The sequence below is a fragment of the Homo sapiens genome, chromosome 4 (assembly GCF_000001405.40).
Source record: "Homo sapiens chromosome 4, GRCh38.p14 Primary Assembly".
Classification (NCBI taxonomy): Eukaryota; Metazoa; Chordata; class Mammalia; order Primates; family Hominidae; genus Homo; species Homo sapiens.
The window spans coordinates 57791618-57812881 of NC_000004.12; positions in this window are offsets into that span (position 1 = coordinate 57791618).

A 21264-nucleotide genomic window follows, 5' to 3' on the forward strand; every position below is an offset into this window, starting at 1 on the left:
GCCATCTTCTTAGATTCCTTAAAATAAAAGAAATGACATATTTCACCGGCAAGAAGAAAACAGGTTCTGGAAAAACTCTCTACAGCCTACTTCCAAGTCGTGAGATGCTCCTTCGACTCTCTCAACAGTCAGGATCAGGGCCACTGCAGAAAAGCAAGGAGCCTCAAGACGAGTCCTGAAATACAGCATGAGAATATCGCGCCAATATCTCTGTTTCCCCAAATTTCCTTTTTTGGAATGACACTAGTCTTGGCCCACTCTATAGAAGTAAGATCTTGCTAGGCTTGTATCAGCAGATCTTAGAAAATTGTGGGTTCATATGTGCTAACACAATAGAAGCTTTGGGTATTTATTTCTGTAAGTGATGAGGAAACAAATATCGAACTTGCATTTTCTGCCTTGGTTGGCTCTTTTTGGTTCTTTACTCTTTTTTGTTTTTTTGTTTTTTTTTGAGACGGAGTCTTGCTCTTTTGCCCTGGCTGGAGTGCAGTGGCAGGATCTCGTCTCACTGCAAGCTCCGCCTCCCGGGTTCACGCCATTCTCCTGCCTCACCTCCCGAGTAGCTGGGACTACAGGCGCCCGCCACCGCGCCTGGCTAATTTTTTGTTTATGTTTTTTTTAGTAAAGACGGGTTTTCACCGTGTTAGCCAGGATGGTCTCGATCTCCTGACCTCGTGATCCACCAGCCTCGGCCTCCCAAAGTGCTGGGATTACAGGCCTGAGCCACCGCGCCCGGCCCGTTCTTTACTCTCTTGCTAGAGTACTAGCAAGCTGGGAATGCCTTGGGTTGTCCCCCAGGAGACTGCAGTCTATGCAAGGAGGCTTTTCTAAGGGATAGCAGCGAGTAGCCATATCTCTGTCCTGTAGTGAGGAACTCATCTCTTTGTTCTCCCACTCTTTATCTTACTTGCCTTCCCTGTCCCTATAAATCATTTCTAGTGTTCTCTCAGACCATGCTTTCTTTTGGATGTGGGTGGGATCCAATGTGTAAAATAGGACTACAGCCTTCTAGAGCTGGCAGGAAAGTTAGGCATGGTGTAGTTGAAATGCTTCATTTACAGATAAAGGAGTGTAAGCCCAGAAAGTAAGGGATGTGGTTTGAATCACACAGCTTGTTTAACTACAGAGTTTGGACTAGAATCCACATTTCCCCATGTTCAGTCCAGTGTTCTGTATTCAACCCCACCTATGCAAAGACACAATTTTACATGCTATATGCTCGTGGGAGAAACTTTTTCTTTAGATAGATGTTAGCATTTTTTTTCTTTCTTCTTGACCTTCCTTGCACCTTTCTGACAAAAGTGAAATGCACAGAATTTTGCCTCTTTTCACCCATGAGTTTCCAAAGCGTGTTCTGCTCGTGAGTAGGTCCTCTCCAAGCTAGACCTGCAGTGTGAGAAAGAAGGAAGCAGAGGAGGCAGTTAAAAGACACTTCTGTAAGGCTAGATTAAAGAATGAGAACATAGCTCCCTTACCAGGAGATGCCAAAGTATGATTTTGGTTAAAGACCTTTGAAAAGGAAACAATAAACAACAACAAAAGAATTCTTCTTTTAAATAGTCCTTTCAACATGAAAAATGCACAGTGTGTGTCCAGATCAGAGTAAATAAAGGAGTCAATGATTTTTTTTAAGCACATGAAAGTACCTGTGCGTGATCAGGTACAGATCACTTTTCTGAATTAGCAGAATGCAGAAGCTAGTTCAGATATAGAATTGGTTATTAATCCAGTGGTTATTTATACATAAATTTATGATTTAGAGATGTAATCGTGCAAGCATTTCTTTTGGAATTTCCTTCCTAAAAAGCTGACAGCCATCACATGGAGGACTTGAGACATTAAAAGTCAAAATGCTAAGTTCAAATCCTGGCTCTGCTTCAAAGTATATGAGCTTGCACAGGTCAGATAACCCTCACAGCTTATATTCTCATCTAGAAATTGTCATTGATATTTGTGCTACCCATATTTCAGTTATCTAGTGAGCAAATTGGAATAATACATGTAAGGACAGTGAACTTCAAGAAAGAAAACAATACATATCATCACTACCACAGTACAAGAGAATAAAATATATTCAAATGCGTCTAAAATAAATTAAAATATTCTAAATTAGACAATTCCTTTCCCCCTATATCAAAGGGCACATTTCCCATCTTCCCTGCCTTTTTTTTTTTCCTCCAAACCCCCAGTATATTTTAATGTCTAACCTGATATTTTGGCAGTAAAGCTGTGTTCAGGTTTTGTGAGAGCTGAAAGATATATTTCAGGGAGTCCTCTTTAAAGAAAAGGATACAAAATTTGACATAAAAGTAAATATTTCTTTAGAATGAGAAAAGAAATCACAACAAATTAAGATTCTTTTGAACCTAACAAATACTAGAAGCATAAAATTTAGAATCACATTCTGTTTTCAATAACTTATTACATTACCAACTCTGTAATTATATTTTTCACTACATTATTGGCTGCATACTGTTTGATCACCTCTTCATATGGCAACAATTTTGTAATATCAGTTTCTATAAAGATAGCAGTCTCAGGATAGAGGCTTTCCTCTAGCATGGCCAATGGCAATTTCTTTTTTATTGTTGAGAGTTGGGTTGCAGAAGACTTGTGACTTCATACACAGATCTTGCTGTTTGCAGAATGGTCATGGTTTAGTGCCTTACAAACACAGAGAACCGAATATATTCTATTCTCTATGATTTCCATCCAAATAGTGTAGAGTGTATTTGTAATCATATATGCTGCGTTATTGTGTGTGTTTCTGACAGAAGAGAAATTTCATTTTGACTAGGCATCAATGATAATTACACAATGGTAATTATACTAAGCATCAATAAGAATTGCAGTCCTGCACATCTGATGATTGGAAGAATTATTGTCAGAGTAGCTTCTAGCTTTGTACATTTTAAGCCTTGTTCTTTCTCCTTTACCAATGTCCTTCTGTTGTCAGAAGTCTCAGGACATGGCCCTATCATGATGTTATGTCTGGACCTGCATTTTTGGGTTAACTCAGCAGACCAGTTAACAAAGTGGTCACTAGGGGGTCTTCCTACAGCAGGACAGTTAACAATAACTTCAACATGAAAATAAGCAAGAACACGTAAATATAATTTAATAAACCCAAACAAAATGTATCCTTATCTCAACTTCTCATTAGATAAATCTCTAAATCATTTGAGCACCTCAAATACCATTGAAACAAGGGAAAACAGGCGTGGAAGAAAAATTGGAGAGGGAAAAAAGCAATCTTAATCAGCTGTGATAAAAACATTTTACTTATGTAAACTGTACAACAATCCATGATCATATGAACAGACTGTTGGGACTCCTTCCTGAAAAGCACTAATGCTGAACCTTAAGTGTTCTTGGCTTCTCAATGACTCTGCATTTCCTAGACCAAACTCCTTTACTACAGAGAACACCCTTACCTTTCAGGTGCTGCATCTACATTACAAACTGCCTCTATCACTTACTTGGGGCTACCATAAAAAATTTCTATGAACTTAGTGGCTTAAAAAATATATACTTATTCTTTCAGGTTGTGGAGGCCGGAATTCTGAAATCAAGGTGTTGGTAGGGCCTGGCTCCCTCTGAAGGATCTAAGGGAAAATCCTACCTTGTCTCTTCCAGTGTTTGGTGTCTCCAGGCACCTTGTGGTTTGTGGCTTCATAACTCCAATCTCTGCCCTGTTTTGCTTAAGTGGCCTTCTTTCTGTTTCTGTCTCCTCCTCTGTCTCTTATGGACACTTGTCATTGGATTTAGGGCTTACCAGATAATCCAGGGTGATATTATCTTAAGATCCTTAACTTAATCATGTCTGCTAAAAACTCTTTTTTCCAAATAAGTTTATATTCATAGGTTCTAGGGGTTAAGACAGGGATATATCTTTTAAGGTGCTACCATACAACCCATCTCACAGCCATTAACACATATCATTTGGAAATAGTCAGAACATAGGTCCTAGCTAACTGACTTGAGACAGAAATTTCATTGTCCATACATCATTGTATTATCTTCCAGTTTCCTACAATTTCAAATTTAACTATATTCAAGATTTTAAGCCAGGAAGGCTTCCAAAAACTATTACCAACTATTTTTATGCCAAACTCTCCTAAGTTATTCAAAGTAAAATCAAACTTTGTTTTCCACAGCTGAGTATGTCTTGATCTATGAATCAAAGGGATACAAGGACAACCTAGAAAACCTAGTATTAGGAAAGGCTAATCCAATTACAAAGGCAATAAGCACGTGTCCAGTCAGTGGCTTTGTAATGCTGTATGTTTTCATCTGACAGAATGTGGTCCCCCTGTGGAAACATTTATTAGTGGAAGATGTAAGTGCAGATGTGTTCTCTAACGGGTGTTATAGGGTAGTACTATCTGTCTGGTTCCACAGAATCTGTGACTTAGGGCTACACTAAAACAAGTTTATGAGACCTGCAGGCGAGCTCAGTGGCAAGATTACAGTCAAATCTAGGGATATATTACTAGGATGTGGACACCCATGAAAAATAACAATTGCAGAATAGTGTTAGGATGTGCGCTGTAACATTCCCTTCTGACACTCTCTGAGCAATTCATCTGCAGCATGTTTTTACTAGATCAATCTCCACAGCCAAGTAGAAAGGTGGAATGAAGATTACGTGTGGGTAGGAACTATAAAGAAGCAATGAGCCCCTCAGTGCTTGAATTTCACCAACACTGTACTAATTGGCAACTGTAGATATCTCATTTTGATAAAGCAATTGCTCACAAAAGTTTCCCAGGCTTTTTTTTTTTTTTAATGTTAAAGATGCTTTGTTAATTTTTGGAAGTTTTTTTTTTTTCCATAATAGCTGAGCTTTAAAATGTAAGCACGCTGTGCAATCATTTGTGGGTTGTGCGTACAATGAATATAATTTGGATGAAAGGAACAGGAATTTTAGAACAGGTGGAACAGTAAGTCAATTCCTTGTATTTTTTTCTTCATGTCTTGCACCTGTGCTCTATTCTTTAAAAGATAATCAGAAAAACCTCAATTTTATTTTGCAATAAGATCATGTCCTTACTTCTATTCTTAAGGTTGTAAAGCACTTGAGAGCAAAAATAGTTCTTGGGGAGTTTATATTTTATGTATTCATTCATTTCTTATACAAATACTTATGGAACTCCTGATACATGCAAGGTATTGTACATGATTTCATTTGGGACAACACAAGTTTAAACAAATTTACTTGTCTTGAGTAATGAACTTTTCTGACATGGAGTAAAATAAAATAACAAGATTCATTTGCCTTTACTCATTAAATATTTATTAAGTGCCTTATGTACACTAGGCACTGTGTTAAGGCTACAACCCCACATAAGATGAAATACCTGCACTCTCTGTTTGGAGACACAGCAAGACAATCAACATTGAAGGTGGAGTTCACTGTCTTACCACAGACTTGTGCATAGGGCAATATGAGAGTAAAGAAAAGGGCATCCAAATCCCTGTGAGTCAAGGATATCTTCTTGAAGGAAGTAGCACTTAGGTGAATTTAGAAGAATGGAGTTTGAATTAGACTCATGAAGGAGCGGAGATAGGATCTAAGCAATAGAAGCCACTCAAGTAAAGATACAGAATTTGACAACTTATTACCATGTTGAAAACACTTTGAGTAGGGAATTTCATAATTAATTTCTATAGCACTTTCCTATATAAATTTCATAAGCTTGGCTTGGTAAATCCAGGCATAAGATTTTCTGCCTTTAGAAATAATTACAAGTCGATGATAGATAGAGTAATACATAGAAACAAACTGCTATGTGATGCAATGGGAGTATGGATGAGAATTAGCTCTGAAAGCTATACACTTTATAAGTCTCACAATTTCTTCTTATGTTCTATAGCCAGACAGTGATGTTGGAGTCGCCGTAAAATGAACCTTCAAAAAGCTGCACACATCAATGTACATAGCTCAATGAAATTGCCTGCTAAATGGGCAATGTTGGCTGAAAAACAAATAGAATGAATTTCCTTAATGGTGTTTTTGGAGCAGCAAGTTTTTCTTAGCATCATTTCTGGAAATACATTTGGTAGAGGAGAGAGGAGGATCAAATTTTGTTGTGAACTTGAGATTGGAATGCATAAAAATAATTTTAGCATTGCATACGAAATGTACAAATATGAGAAAATATAATTGTAGAAAGATCATAACAACATTTTGCTGTAATACATGACACAGATGAAAGAAGGAAATGAAAAAAATGACAGAACAGAACTCAGACGAATGTAATTATCAGTATACATTTATATCTGAGTACTCAATTGGCCAGTGTCTGAGAAGATTGTCTAATGACTGCAATGGAGAAGTTTAGAGCACAAGTTCTGAAACTGTCATTTATGACCACTTACTTCACAGGGCTATTGGGAGATGCAATAAATATGAGAGAAACTTTACTCTGCTATATAGCCTGGCAAAATTAGGTGCTTTAGTAGGTTAAGTGAGTCAGTGCTAAATCAATACAAAGACAGATGATTTGGGTTCATAGGCTGGTCAGCCAAGTTTATTTCCCAGGCATATATCTCCCTACAAAGAAGGTGATTAATATGCTCACCAAATCAGGAGGGTATCTTTATAGGCAAGAGGAAGCATGAAAATTGATTTCTTGGGCTACAGATTTCATCTAATAGGTACTGGTACCTGCACATAAGTTCAAATACTATTCACACAACGCTTTGCTCAACACCAAGTAATGATGAGCTTCTTATCACTAAATTGTAGGAATCATACAGCATTATATTAAGACCATTGTAAAATTCCCAGAGACTCACAAAGGGATGCTGGGCCAAATTCCTCAGGCAATAACCATATAATCTTGGGTTATCTTGGACTATTAGGACACATCCAATTTTGTAGGTAACAGGTTTTAAAGGATTCTGTTCTGCCTTAATTCAACTGTATTTTACAATCATCTTTAGACCAATCAAATTGGACCTGACATAAAAGCCTTAGTACACATAAAAAAGAATGTCTTGTACTTGAAAAATAATGATCAAATAGCACAGGGTTATCTCCTACTTATGTCTTGAAATAACAGAGAGCATGACACCAAGCTGGTAACTGTTCAACATTCCTAAGGAACAAAGAGGACAGGGTATTCTAAGAAGCAGGAAAATATGTGCAAAGACCCTGAGTGTGGATGAACTATAGGATATTTATGGAAGAGAGGTGGAGGTCAGGTAGGGAAAATGCTCAGGAGGTAGATCCTGCACTGGTTGCATGCCATGTTTAAGTTTAGATTTCACCTTGCAGATGATGGACCCTTGATGGACTTTTATCAGGAAAATGAATATGGAAATTATTTTGATTCATCAGTGCTTGCTGCCTCTGAAGAGAACCTGGATCAGATCTCAAAGAAATAATTAACTCCCACAAAACATGGCTTACCATATGCATCAGGGATTGTGTAAAGATCATAATTCAAATTGTACATACTTGTTGTATTAATCTGTTCTCATGCTGTCCTGAGACTGGGTAATTTATAAAGGAAAAAGATTTAATTGACTTACAGTTCTGCAGGGCTGAGGAGGCTTCAGGAAACTTGCAATCATGGTGGAAGGAGAAGCAAACACATCCTTCTTCACATGGTAGCATCATGAAGAAGTGCCAATCAAAAAAGGAAAAGCCCCTTATAAAACCAACATACCTCATGAGAACTCACTCACTATCATGAGAACAGCATGGAGGTAACTGCCTCCATGATTCAATTACCTCCCACCAGATCCCTCCCGTGACACGTGGCAATTATGGAAACTACAATTCAAGGTGAGACTTGGTTGGGGACACAGCCAAACCATATCACTTGTACGGAGTTAGTTACTGATAGACACACTCACATATCTTATTTACTCCTCTCAGTTATCCCAAGGGGATATGTATACTGTGACTCCCTTTTTATTGATGAGAATTGAGGAAAAAAAGTGGTTAATTTTATTGTGCCACATGACAGAGGCAGTCAAAGTAACATTCTAGAAATTGAAATTCTGATCCAATGGAGCTGGCTTGTGGGTTTAATTTACTAACAACATTTTGTCCTGATTCCCTGCAGAAGTTCACCAAGCCATCTAAATAGATACTTCAGGGTGTGGAGCATTCAGTTATGACGTTATAAACTACACTTTATTATCAGTGGTGGAAAAGAGAGTTGTACAAACATTTTATTTATATTTTTCCTTATACAGTATTGATAGAGAAAACAAGTATTATTTTAGAAATTGAACAGACTTTGGTAATAGTCCTGTAATAAACTCTTCTCATGCAACAGTGTAGGAGATTATTTTCTAAAAAGTTTATCTATAAATGTTTATATAGAAGAGCAAACAGCAAAGAAGAGCTGAGACAATTTTAAAGAATAAGGTTGTGTTCCTAGAAAACTCCAAGCACTTGTAAGGTAGATTTAAAATGCTTGGGAATGATAAATGTGAAATTGAGTGTGCTCGCACTACTTTTCCTCCTGGGTATGCCTTTTCTCTGGATATCTGAATGACCCACTTCCCTGCTTTCTTTAAGTGTCTGCTCAAATAGGCTTCTTTTATTTAAAATGGTAGCTCTCTTACCCCCGGCACTCCTTAACTTCCTGCCATGTTTTCTTTTTCATAGCAAGAATCAGTTCCTAGCTTATTCTAGAATTAATAATGTCTGTAATTTGTTATTGTTCATTTCATCTACTAAAACAGAAGCTTAATATGAAGCCAGAAGGATTTGCTCCTTTTGATCTCCGATAAATTCCAAGCCCCTAGAAAAGTTCCTGACACATAGTATGTTCAAAATCAATATTTTCTGATCACATGAATGAATGAAAGTAGGGACTAGGGAGACCAGACAGCAGGACATAGCATCAAGCAACAGAAATCAAAGCAATGCAAAGTGGTCAAATAGCATGAGGTCCAAGAAATAGGACAGAGAGCCCAGAAACAAACTCAGACTTACATGGAAACTATATAAAAACAGAGTGCCATTGCACACTGGAGAAAAAAAGTAGCCTATTAGGTACATGGTGTTGCAAAAATTAGTTGTGTCTATGGAAATATATATATATATATAGAGAGAGAGAGAGAGAGATAGAGAGAGAGAGAGAGAGAGAGAGAGAGAGACAGGGTCTTGCTCTGTCACCCAGGTTGGAATGCAGTGGCACGACCATGGCTCACTGCAGTCTCGACTTCCTGGGCTCAAGTGATCCTCCTGCCTCAGCCTCCCAGATAGCTGGGACTAAAGGCACATACCACCATGTCCAGCAAATTTGGAGATGGGGGCTTCACTATGTTGCCCAGTCTGGTTTCAGACTCCTGGGCTCAAGTGATTCTCTTGCCTAGGCTTCCCAAAGTGTCGGGATTATAGGCATAAGCCACTGCACACAGTGAAAAACAAATCTTTACATTATATTTTTTCCAGAATGAGTTCTAAGTGGATTACCCAGCTATGTGTAAAATGAAAACTTTAAAACTTTTAGCAAAAATTATGCTTATAACCCAAGATTAGGGAAGAATTTTTATGTAAGATAAAAAAAGCAAAACATCGTAGGAGAAACAAATGATAAATTTGACATTAAATTAAAAATCTCTATTCACCAAATGCTTTATAAATAAAAATGAAACAAGCAACAAACTCTGCAAAGAATATGCGGCACATAACAGTGGCATAGAATTAGAATCCAGAATATGTTTTTTAAAAATTACATATCAAAGAGAAAATGACAACTTGATAAAACAGCAACAGCATTTCCTAGAAGGAAAAATACGTAAAATAGCAGTCATCCTCAGTATTAGCCATGGAGAGGGAAATTTAAATCATAGTAAGATGCTATTTTATGTCCACCAAGTTCACAAAAATGAAAAAGTCTGACAACATCAAGTATTGGCAATGATGTAGAGCCTAACTAATTCTCCAAACTACACAGTTGGTATAAATTAGCAGAGTTTTGGAGGAACTTTTGGAATTATTAATAGAATTTATATTAATATTAATTTATATTAATGTTAAATAAAATATTGAATACAAATAAAGACACACATCCTGTTTTTTTCTCCTATCTAGCCCACGGGAATCTAAACTTTCCTGTTGTCTTGATGTTAGACGTAGTTGTGAGTCTTGCATTGGCCAAGAAAATGCAAATGGAAGTGATGCATTTTATTTCTAAGTCAAATACTCAAGAGCTTTTAGACTGTACTCTATGAACTCTCTTGCTCTGCTCCAGCGACCATGTGAGCTTATGGTGGTATGGAGTTATGGTAAAATCAGAGCATTCTATACCTAGACGATAGCTACCCTAGAGCATCACTTGGACAGCAAAATTTGTGTGAACAAGTTCTCAACTGTTTTATGTTAAGCTACTGCGATTATAGAATTATTAATTGCTATAGCATAACTAATTTATCTTGATTGATAGCCCCTAAAATCCAGAAGTTTTATGTCTATATATGTACCCTATGAAAACAAAACTCATACATATACATAAAAGGACATGTATTATAATGTTTTAAATAGCAAGTGTTTTAAAAGGCAAAAATTCAGAAACCACCTCATCAAAAAAGGAGGGGCATATTATAGTATAGACAATACAATGAAATGAAGCAGTGAAAATGAATAAATTGGAGTCACTCATACAAATAAGGGTAAATTTTAAAAGCATCATGGTAACCAAAATAAATTTGAGAAGAACATATATTGTAGTGTCCATCCTGTATGTATTTATATACTCATGAAGATCATGTAAATGCATGCAAAATAATACTAGCTATTACTTAGGAACAGATATTTGCATTAAAATGATAAGGAAATACCTAGAGGTGTTGAACACCAAAATCAAGACAATGGCTATATCTGGAAAGGATGAGAAGAAATGTGACTGAGGAGAACTTCACCAAAGGTTTCAATTATAGTGAGAACATTTTATTTCTGAAGCTGGGTATATGAGTACATGGGGAGTTGTATTAGTCTTCTTAACTTTTGCATATCTTATTACTCTTAATAATAAAAATACTAACCATTTACATAAAGATAAAATATGCAAGCAATTATGGGTTATCTTGCAAAGTCAGTCCTGTAATATGGACTGACTGAAAAAGGGATGAAACTTTAGGAAATGATAGCACTCCCAAGAAAAAAAGCTCTGGTGTGCTTAAAGGTATACATTGGAAATTTCATATGCAAAGTACTTCCAAATTCTGTTATTTGTCAGTATATGGAAATTAATGTAAAAAATCAATGAAGTTTATGAAACTTTTAGGAGCGTAAGAAGCATCGACATGCATTTAAATATGTGGATGCACTACACATGTATTAACCAGGGTAGGCTACTAGATAAAAAAATAATATCCAAACGTTCAGTGGCTCAACTCAACAGAAATGCATTTCTTGTTAACATAGCAATTCGATGTGGTATATGGCAAACAGACTTTTATAACATAATCTAGAGACCAAAGTCTTCCATCATGTGGCTCTGGCCTCCTCTAGGTCCCCCCAGAGTCCTTTTCTTTTAGCCAGGGAATGAAGAAAGCAGGAAGGATCACAATGGGCAGTTTGGAGATCAGCCCTGAAAGTGGTATACATCACTTTCACCACATTCCAGTTGCCTGATACTAGAAATATAGTCACACCTGACTTTAAAGGGGAGTGAAGTAAGTTTGATGAATGCTTAGCCAGCCTTTGCCACATCATATTTAATATAAATGAAGTTGGAAATTGGATCGTAAACCAAGGGCTGGACTCTGAGTGTCAGTGATGGATCCCCTCTCAAGCAGAATTGGTATGCACTAGGATCCTAGTCAAGCAGAGCCAGTCAAGACTTTCTTGCCAAGAACTGGGTATTTGATGTTGCAAATAAGTCATCATGGGAAAAATAACTCTTTTTAGATGCCCTTATACATACTTTCTGTATTAGGATGGTTTAGATTTTTTTTTTTTTTTTTTGAGACAGAGTCTCACTCTGTCATCCAGGTTGGAGTGCAGTTGTGTGATCATGGCTCACTACAGCCTGGAACTCCTGGGCTCAAGAAATCCTCCCACCTCAGCCTCCCAAATAGCGGAGACTACAGGTGCGCACCACCATGCCAGACTAATTTTTTTATGTTTACTTTTAGTAGAGAAAAGCTCTTGCTATGTTGTCCAGTCTGGTTTTAAACTCCTGGCCTCAAGTGACCTTCCCGTCTCAGCTCCCAAAGTGGTGGGATTACCAGAGACAGCCATTGTGCCCAGCAGGATGGTTTTAGTCTTAATATCTTGGGGATGCACTCTCAATGTTCTTTTTATTGCTTGCGTCCTCTGAATAAATATTCTCTTACCTTAAACCTTTCTGAGCTGGGCATGAGTGAGGAGGGAATACCAAGCAGCTGGGATAGGGAGGGCAACGGTGGGGCATCCAGCATGCTTGGCAAAGAAAGGCAGCAGGGTGGGCAGAATGGCAGCAGGGAATATTGAATTTGGAGTTACAAAATTTAGGCTAAATCTTAGTGCCGACTTCACTAGTCATAGAATTGTGAGCAAGTGATTTCTTCTGTTTGTATAAAATTCCTCCACAATACAATAAGAGAACAGGAGTAAATATTTTCTGAGTCTCTTTTCTAGTAATGAGGACAGTCTGTCGGTCTAAGTTAGGTACCTAACTATAACCCTTCTCGCATTAGAGACAGGCATTCAATAAAATGTGGCTCTTTCTGAGCAAAACCAGTGGACAGCTAGCGGGTCTAATAAGCAGATAGTACTTACAAGGCTTTGTGGGTGGTTGATTTAGTTACTTTCTTTTAAGACATACAAGAGAGAAAAGATAGGATTTTTTTAGACACATCTGCAGATATTGCACTTTTGAAAACTTATGAAATCTTCTTTCCATTTCACATTCCCTAAACATTATTGTGATTTGTTTTTCTCCAACAACAATGTATCATCAAGATATTTATTTTTGTTTATTTTCTGGTTTCTTCCATAAGAGTGTAAGCTCAAAGAAGGCGGTTTTGTCAAGTTTATTAATGTTGTATGTACCCAATGTCTAGAACAGTACGTGTCATGTAGAAGAATATTCAACAAATATTTATTAAATAAAGGTTATAAACTCATGGTAACTTCAGAATCATCAGGAGAGTTTCAAGAAAGCAGTAAGGAGGAATACTACAGTTTGGAAGTGAAAATCGATTTGAGAATAGTAATCTGAATTTTGCATTGCTTTTTAAGTCACAGGAAGAAAACCAGACTTAGAGAAGGACAATCCTTTTGAGGGTAATTTTTCCTAAGGTTGAAACTTTTGTAAACCTCATCTAGCATTTCTTAAAATTGTCATAAAAGATGTATAATTTCCCATGAAATTATTTCAATGCAGACTACTCTAATGATATTTAAATAGGTTAACCGAGTTTTGCTTGTAAGTTCAGGAAGAATTTTCATGAGGGTTCTAATACAATTTAAAAGCAGCAAACACAAACAATTCTTAATCTGCTCAGTATAAAACAAGGTAACAAAACCACACCACACAAATCTACATGCTCCCTACTTCAAATCAACTCTAATTATCAATGTTTATATATTATTCCAAGTTCTCATTCATCTAACTCTAGACCACAATTTAATCTTGATGGATTGTGATGGAGCATCATTTGTGGTGCAGGCTATGATCTGTTATGATTCCTTTGCAAAATTATTATGATGAATCACACTTGTCAATGATTTTTGAATGAGACAAATCCAAAACTAATTTGCTATCTGCAATCCAGATGTAATTGGCTATGTATCATAAATCTTCCATGAAAATATTCTTCAGTTCCATTTCTGTCAACAAACAAAAGTGTTCTTCATAGTTCATTCCCCAAGAAAAACAATAGAGTATAATTAGAAGGGAAGAGAGAAAGTGCATAGTTGACTTGAATATAAAAAACAGAAAATGCCTTGATCAAATTGGCTGCACAAATGAATCTCTGTTATCAAAATCATTATAAATTGCATCTCTCCATTTTTAGTCCAGGAACTCAATACTTTAAGAGAGCCATAAAATATTTTACCTTCACGCTAAATTGTGGGAATTAAGCAATGCTTATAGCATTTTCTATAATTTGAAAATGACTTACATCTTATTTATTTTGAAATAGAAGTTCAATTACAAAATATTGAGTGGGGAGAAGTTAGCATTCATTATTGCTGTACAGTGAACATAAGAGTTTTAAAATTTTTGTTTTGTTCACTGGAAGGAGCTTTGGTCATTAATTAACTGTGATCCAAACAAAACACGCTAGGGTTTCAAACCATATATAGGCCAGAAAGTTCTGTACCTGGGCATACCAACTACAGCATTGACTCTGAGGAGAATGTGTGTGTGTGTGTGTGTGTGTGTGTGTGTGTGTGTAATCTATAATATGGATATCCTTGTTTGAAAGGGAAAGTAGTTGAGAAACTCTATAGGAGTATAAACCTCTCATTTCTATTTTGAAAATTATTTACAATGCTTATTTTATCAGTGGTGCGTCAGTAACCTTTTCTTCCTATATATGAAACATAGCACTCTTTATTATGGAAATTTCTAGTATTGGTATAATACATCCTGTAGGAGTATATGAAAGAAAGCATTTTGACCAATCGAATCTCAGAAAATATAAATATATCCTTTCTCAGAAGAAAACCAAATCTTCTCTGAGATGAAATGTGTCTAATCACAAATCTCATTTCTTTTCCCCATAGTATATTCCCTTGTGCTATTCATCTAGTCCATGCTTCCAAACTAACCTCACATAATAACACCATTAATAATACTTAACACTTATATAGAGTGCATTCCACCTTCAAAGTACTGAATAAACATTAAACAATTAATGCACATTGAAAGAAGTCAGCAAAAGTCCAGAACTTCCAAATTCTTATGAGGGAAGCAAAAATATTTATTAGTAATTTTTGATGATGTGGTTTGTTTAATCTATTTTTAAAAAAATATTTTTGCCTTGTCATATAAGAAGAGGAATGTTCATGATAGGAAAGTATATGAGCCTATAACTGGCTTTTACAGATGATTAAATGCTCAGGTTGAAGCCGAGGCTTTTGATAACTGCTAGAGCCATTTATGACCTCATATACTACTCCACTTTGGGATATTAGGCCTTAAATAACATCAACCATGTGCTTTTACTAAGAAGAAGAGAAATAAAAGTAAAATGCCCTTTCAATGAAGAAAAAAATATCTACAGAGAACTCTATGGAAATGTCATAAACACACAGGAATAAATACACAGAAATAAATACACATTAAGGTTCTGCAATAGTTTTGGGAGCCAGGTTATCACTTGACACCTGTCTGGGTAGTTTTTGGATAGAATACTTACAAAGGAACAGTTCTTTTATCCATGGGCATAAAAAGTGCCTTGGTTTATAACAGGCACTGACATCAGTTACTGCTATACAGAGGACTCTAACATTCACACAGTGAATGTTGGTGCTTACAGTGTTAACCTGCTTATATCGAACATGGTCTCTGTAAGTGGGCAGTTTGCCAAAATCACATCTAAAAATTTCACTAGGTGGACAATGTCATGCAAAGCTCTACATAGTGGGAGACTTCCAGTGTGAAAATGTGGCTAGAGAGGTGCAGGGAGCAAAATAAAATCTCATATACTGCTTTAAAACATATCTGGCAGAATGCGAAGATTATTGCTCCTCAGGTTGCCCCTTAAAACATGCTCATCAGATTCTTAATTCTTGCCATATTTTTCCTTGACCTTTAAGAATCTAATATACTGAATGACATTTCTCTGATAAAAAAAAGAGGCCTAGGAGGAAGATCTACATAAAAATATGAATAAAAAACCCATAATAAATAACACAAATGGTATGATATAGAAGCATATTTATAATGATTAGAAGAAATAATAGTTAATATTTATGATTCATGTTATAAAAGGAGTATTAAATTCTCTATACACATTGGCTTTCTCATCATAACAATCCTGTCAATGACATTGCATTATTATTCAATGAAGACCCTGAGATTTAAAGACTTTAGTAAGATCCTAAGTAGAAGAGCCAAAATCTCAACCCAGCTGATCTGATTCCAGAGGTTGGACTTTTATTACCATGACATGCCTCAGTAATAAGTGTTCCAGTGTCCATAGGTACTTCTCATTGGCAAGCACTTTACATGTATCAATTATTACAAAAATATTATGTACTTACTGTGAAAAAGATGGAGTCCCATAAAGCAAAAAAGCAAAACTAGAGCTCACAATTATATTATATGTCTGATTCCAAAACCTGTGCTGGGTTTGAATATACATAAGCAATTCTATAATTTTAGCTTTGGAAGTGACTTCTGCAGCTTCTAATATAGACTTTCTAGTATTATCATATTTACCAGAGAAAAGAGAAGTGATCTACCACAAGTTGTATGGAAAAGTAATGTTAGAGCCTAAATAATAATTTCTTTATTTTTGTAGTGAGAGTAATTTTTCCCCGCAGCTGGTAGCATTATTCCTCAATATTCAAAATGGAAGAGTTCCTGGAGATAAAAACAATGACTGCTTGAGTTGTTCTAATACCTATTATCTTTGTATCGAGACACATGAAAAAATAATACCATTGCATTTACTGTCAGGAAATTAATGGTTAAAACCCAGTACCCAGTATCTGCTGCTGTCATAGGTACACCTAATGATTCTAACAGGTAATCAGATATGATTAAGCAACTGATCTGTATTATTACATTTAAATATATTAATGGCTCACATTTTTTGAATGCATATCATGTGCTAAGCACTGTATTCACTCATTTAATCCTCACATCAATTATATGACATGAGTACATTAACATTTTACAGATGGGGAAATTGAGGCACCAGAGATTAATTAAAGAAGTCAAAGTTGCCCAGTGGGTTAATTAATGCTGGAGACACTAATTTTGACTGTCTGATTCCAGAACCTACTCTTACACCAACTTGTCTGAAACTATCTTTTGAGTATATTTCTAATAATTTTTAGCAGCAATTGGAAATTTAATGCCCATGAATTTCTCCTGGCCTCAAGGGAATATGTAAGTATTTTTCAAAAGACATACATATTATAAGAACTATCCAACAGGATGCTTTAGATTGCCTGAAAGTGATATCACTTAGGTTACTACTTGTGCCTAATTTAATCAATGATGTTTGATATAGATGAATGTTTTTCAAACTAGGAGTAATGTGGTTGCCTGGAGTAACACTAAATTATTCCATTATCTCTCTGTATGGGAGAATAAACACCCACAAAGTGGCTTCTTTTCTGCTCACTCAGACTTTCTTTATATTATAAAACCATTTCTTCAGCTTCTGTGATATATCTAAGTTATAAGGAACAATGATGTGCATAATTATTAGTTATTAAAATATGCATAGGTATTTTCATAGACTTATATCCGAAGCTAAATCTACAACTGATGTCCGTTTATAACTAATAAAGTAATAATCATTTTCATTTATATAGGCCCTTTCATTGCAAAGTGCCTCATTGGTCTCCTTCTTTCAAATAGGAAATTTCCTGCAGTAAAGTGTTAAGTATGTAAATGTGATTTCACAACAGATGTGCAAAAGTCATTGGTATTCTAGTTAACATTAACTGCATTCTACAGATAATTTGTTGGGTGCTCTGCTTAACAGTACAAATGGCGATCTCATACAGATGCTCACCACTTCCCTGTGGCTCAACAGGATGCAAGTGTGATATGTGTACATCTGAGCATTTCTCTCCTGAATAGTAAGTACTGATTTTTTCAAACATGTGCCCAATTAATATAGCGCATGGGCAGAATTTGATCAAGTAAAGTGTTAATTAACCCAGATGTGCATTTCCAATTAGCAGTAAACTACAGTGTAATCGAGAGTAGCATTCATTTTTGTCTTTCTAATGGATGTTATTTGGGTTATGATATGTGAATATCAGTTTTTTTCCTTTTTGCCACAACATTCTTCTCATGGTGGTGGCAGACAGCAATGGCAAGGGCAAGGACAGTTTTATTAGACTAGTACAAACTTCTGTTTGCATCATGTCTGCTAATAATTCATTGGCCAAGACATGACATATGGCTAGGCTCAAGGGAGGGTAATTATATCAATCATCTTATACCTACCATGGAAAAGCATTGAAACGTTACATGGCAGAGTGTGTGAAGACAAGAAAAGGTAAATTATTGGGTTGATAAGTGTAAACTAGCACAGTCTTCACCACCAGCCATAATTATTCAAGAATTTCTAATATGTGAAATGTTTCAGCTTTATTTCACCAACCCCTCTCCAGCCAAATACCCAGTTATAATATCAGTCTCACGGGATCCAAAATTGTATAATCTTAAACAGGTTTCAATATGGGTTCTTGATCTAGATAACTATAAAATAAAAAGATAAATTATCTGCCCTTAAATACTCGAATTAATTGGCCTCAGCAATATTTCTGGTTAAACCCAGCCACTATGTTGTGAGGAGACCAAGACCAGAATGTCTTAAAAATGTTATGCTCAACAGGTAAAGTTAAAGTTCCCACCAACATCTATCACCAGACATCTTCATGAACAAACTTCAGATAATTGTAGCCCCTACCCTTCAAGTTCCTTAGCAGAAGTGCCAGAGATCACTCAGTAGAAGGAAACCATTTCCACTGTTTCCGATTCAAATTCGTGACTCACAAAATCCATGAACATGATAAATATCTATTTTGGGTCATTCATTCAGGGAAAGAGTAACTACAATAAGCACTTTCATTTGAATAAGAAAAAAGAGGAGGCACCATGGCAGTCACTTGTCTGTATCAATTCTAAAATCTCTCCAGGGAAAATATTGCCAGCAGAACATATTGGAATGAGATATGTTCTTTGGTTAAGCCTTGGTTCCATAAACTGAGAATGACCCAGCCCCTTTAGGTGTTGCTTTTGCTATGGCAACTGTCTTTTTTATTGTTGTTTTTTGGTGTTTGTGTTTTTTTTTTGGTTTTCAGTAGCTATTGAAATTTTATTTATGTTACAAGTGTGACTATCTTAAAAACTTCATGGCTTTTCTCTGCATCAGATTTGAGTTCATTGTGTGCACCAAAAGTTACACCCCAATTGTGCACATATTCATTATGTGCACCAAAAGTTACACTCCAGTTGCCTACCTGTTTAGACTTATGGTTACTGGTATCTTTCTTTTATATATATATATATATATATATATATATATATATGTATATCTTATTATACTTTAAGTTCTAGGGTACATTGACAACGTGCGGGTTTGTTACATATGTATACATGTGCCATGTTGGTGTACTGCAACCATTAACTCGTCATTTACATTAGGTATATCTCCTAATGCTATCCCTCTCCCCTTCCCCCACCCCACAACCGGCCCCAGTGTGTGATGTTCCCCTTCCTGTGTCCTGGTGTTCTCATTGTTCAGTTCCCACCTATGAGTGAGAACATGTGGTGTTTGGTTTTTTGTCCTTGTGATAGTTTGCTGAGAATGATGGTTTCTAGCTTCATCCATGTCTCTACAAAGGAGATGAACTCATCATTTTTTATAGTATTCCATGGTGTATATGTGCCACATTTTCTTAATCCAGTCTATCATTGTTGGACATTTGGGTTGGTTCCAAGTCTTTGCTATTGTGAGTAGTGCCACAATAAACATACGTGTGCATGTGTCTTTATAGCAGCATGATTTATATTCCTTTGGGTATATACCCAGTAATGGGATGGCTGGGTCAAATGGTATTTCTAGTTCTAGATCCCTGAGGAATCGCCACACTGTCTTCCACAATGGTTGAACTAGTTTACAGTCCCACCAACAGTGTAAAATTGTTCCTATTTCTCCACATCCTCTCCAGCACCTGTTGTTTCCTATTGTTTCCTGACATTTTAATGGTCGCCAGTTAGAAAACTGGTGTGAGATGGTATCTCATTGTGGTTTTGATTTGCATTTCTCTGATGGCCAGTGATGACGAGCATTTTTTCATGTGTCTTTTGGCTGCATAAATGTCTTCTTTTGAGAAGTGTCTGTTCATATCCTTCGCCCACTTTTTGATGGGGTTGTTTGATTTTTTTCTTGTAAATTTGTTTGAGTACTTTGTAGATTCTGGATATTAGCCCTTTGTCAGATGAGTAGGTTGTGAAAATTTTCTCCAATTTTGTAGGTTGCCTGTTCACTCTGATGGTAGTTTCTTTTGCTGTGCAGAAGCTCTTTAGTTTGATTAGGTCCCATTGGTCAGTTTTGGCTTTTGTTGCCATTGCTTTTTGTGTTTTAGACATGAAGTCCTTGCCCATGCCTATGTCCTGAATGGTAATGCCTAGGTTTTCTTCTAGGGTTTTTATGGTTTCAGTTCTAAGCTGGTATCTTTACAGGTCAGGTTGTTGTGATACAACCCCTTTAGGATTCCTAGGAGTCCATTTTTCCAGCTGAGGAGATCTACTTGGCACCTTTAATTCTTCAATTTTTGTCTTAACGAAGCGTCTCAGAAAGCCTTGATTCAGTCTTTGAATTAAAGCAATGTATTAATATGAGAATCTTTTACTTGTTTGAGAGGCCGAAGCTGAGAATAATTTTTATTTTCCAAACTAGCAATTTTCAGAATACCTAAGCTCTCCACCTGCCTGCTAAATGCTGCTTGGAAACTGTGCAGTGCTTTATCCTGCATTTTTCTTTTAGAAAATTACCATGAACAGCCAAATGCAACCAAAAGATGTTTTCAATACTTTTCTTGAAGATCTCTTCAGTCAAGCCCCAAAGTTTATTAGGTATATTTTCCAATTTTTGCACTACTTGTAACAATTTTAATAAATGCGACATAACTTCATAACACAAGTTATAAAACTTTAATTTTCCTGTAGCAGTCTTCTCCCAATTTTTCCAGCCTCCTCTGATGGTATTTTTACTGCCTGTCTCCTGGTCCCCAAATCAATGGACTATATTTTTGTTACAGCAGCACTCTATGTTCAGTACACATTTTTTCACTATCTGCCTCTAGCCTTAATAATGATGTGAAACAAGCAACAACAGAACTTTTGTGGCAAATAACTGTGAGAACTTATTGCTCATATGGTTGGAGTGGTCCTAGCAGCAACTCTGTTTATCATGCTTGGAGGTTACGTGGTTTATCAGGTGATCTAGTATGGCCCCACCTGGGAAAACTCAGAAACATCAGCTGTTCTCCATGTGTCTCTTATCCTGTGTCAGGCTATCTTTGAAATGCCTTTCATGATAGTAGTAAAGGGAAAATGTGAGAATGAGCCCAGTTGTATAAGTTAACTTCAATCTTTTATTTGC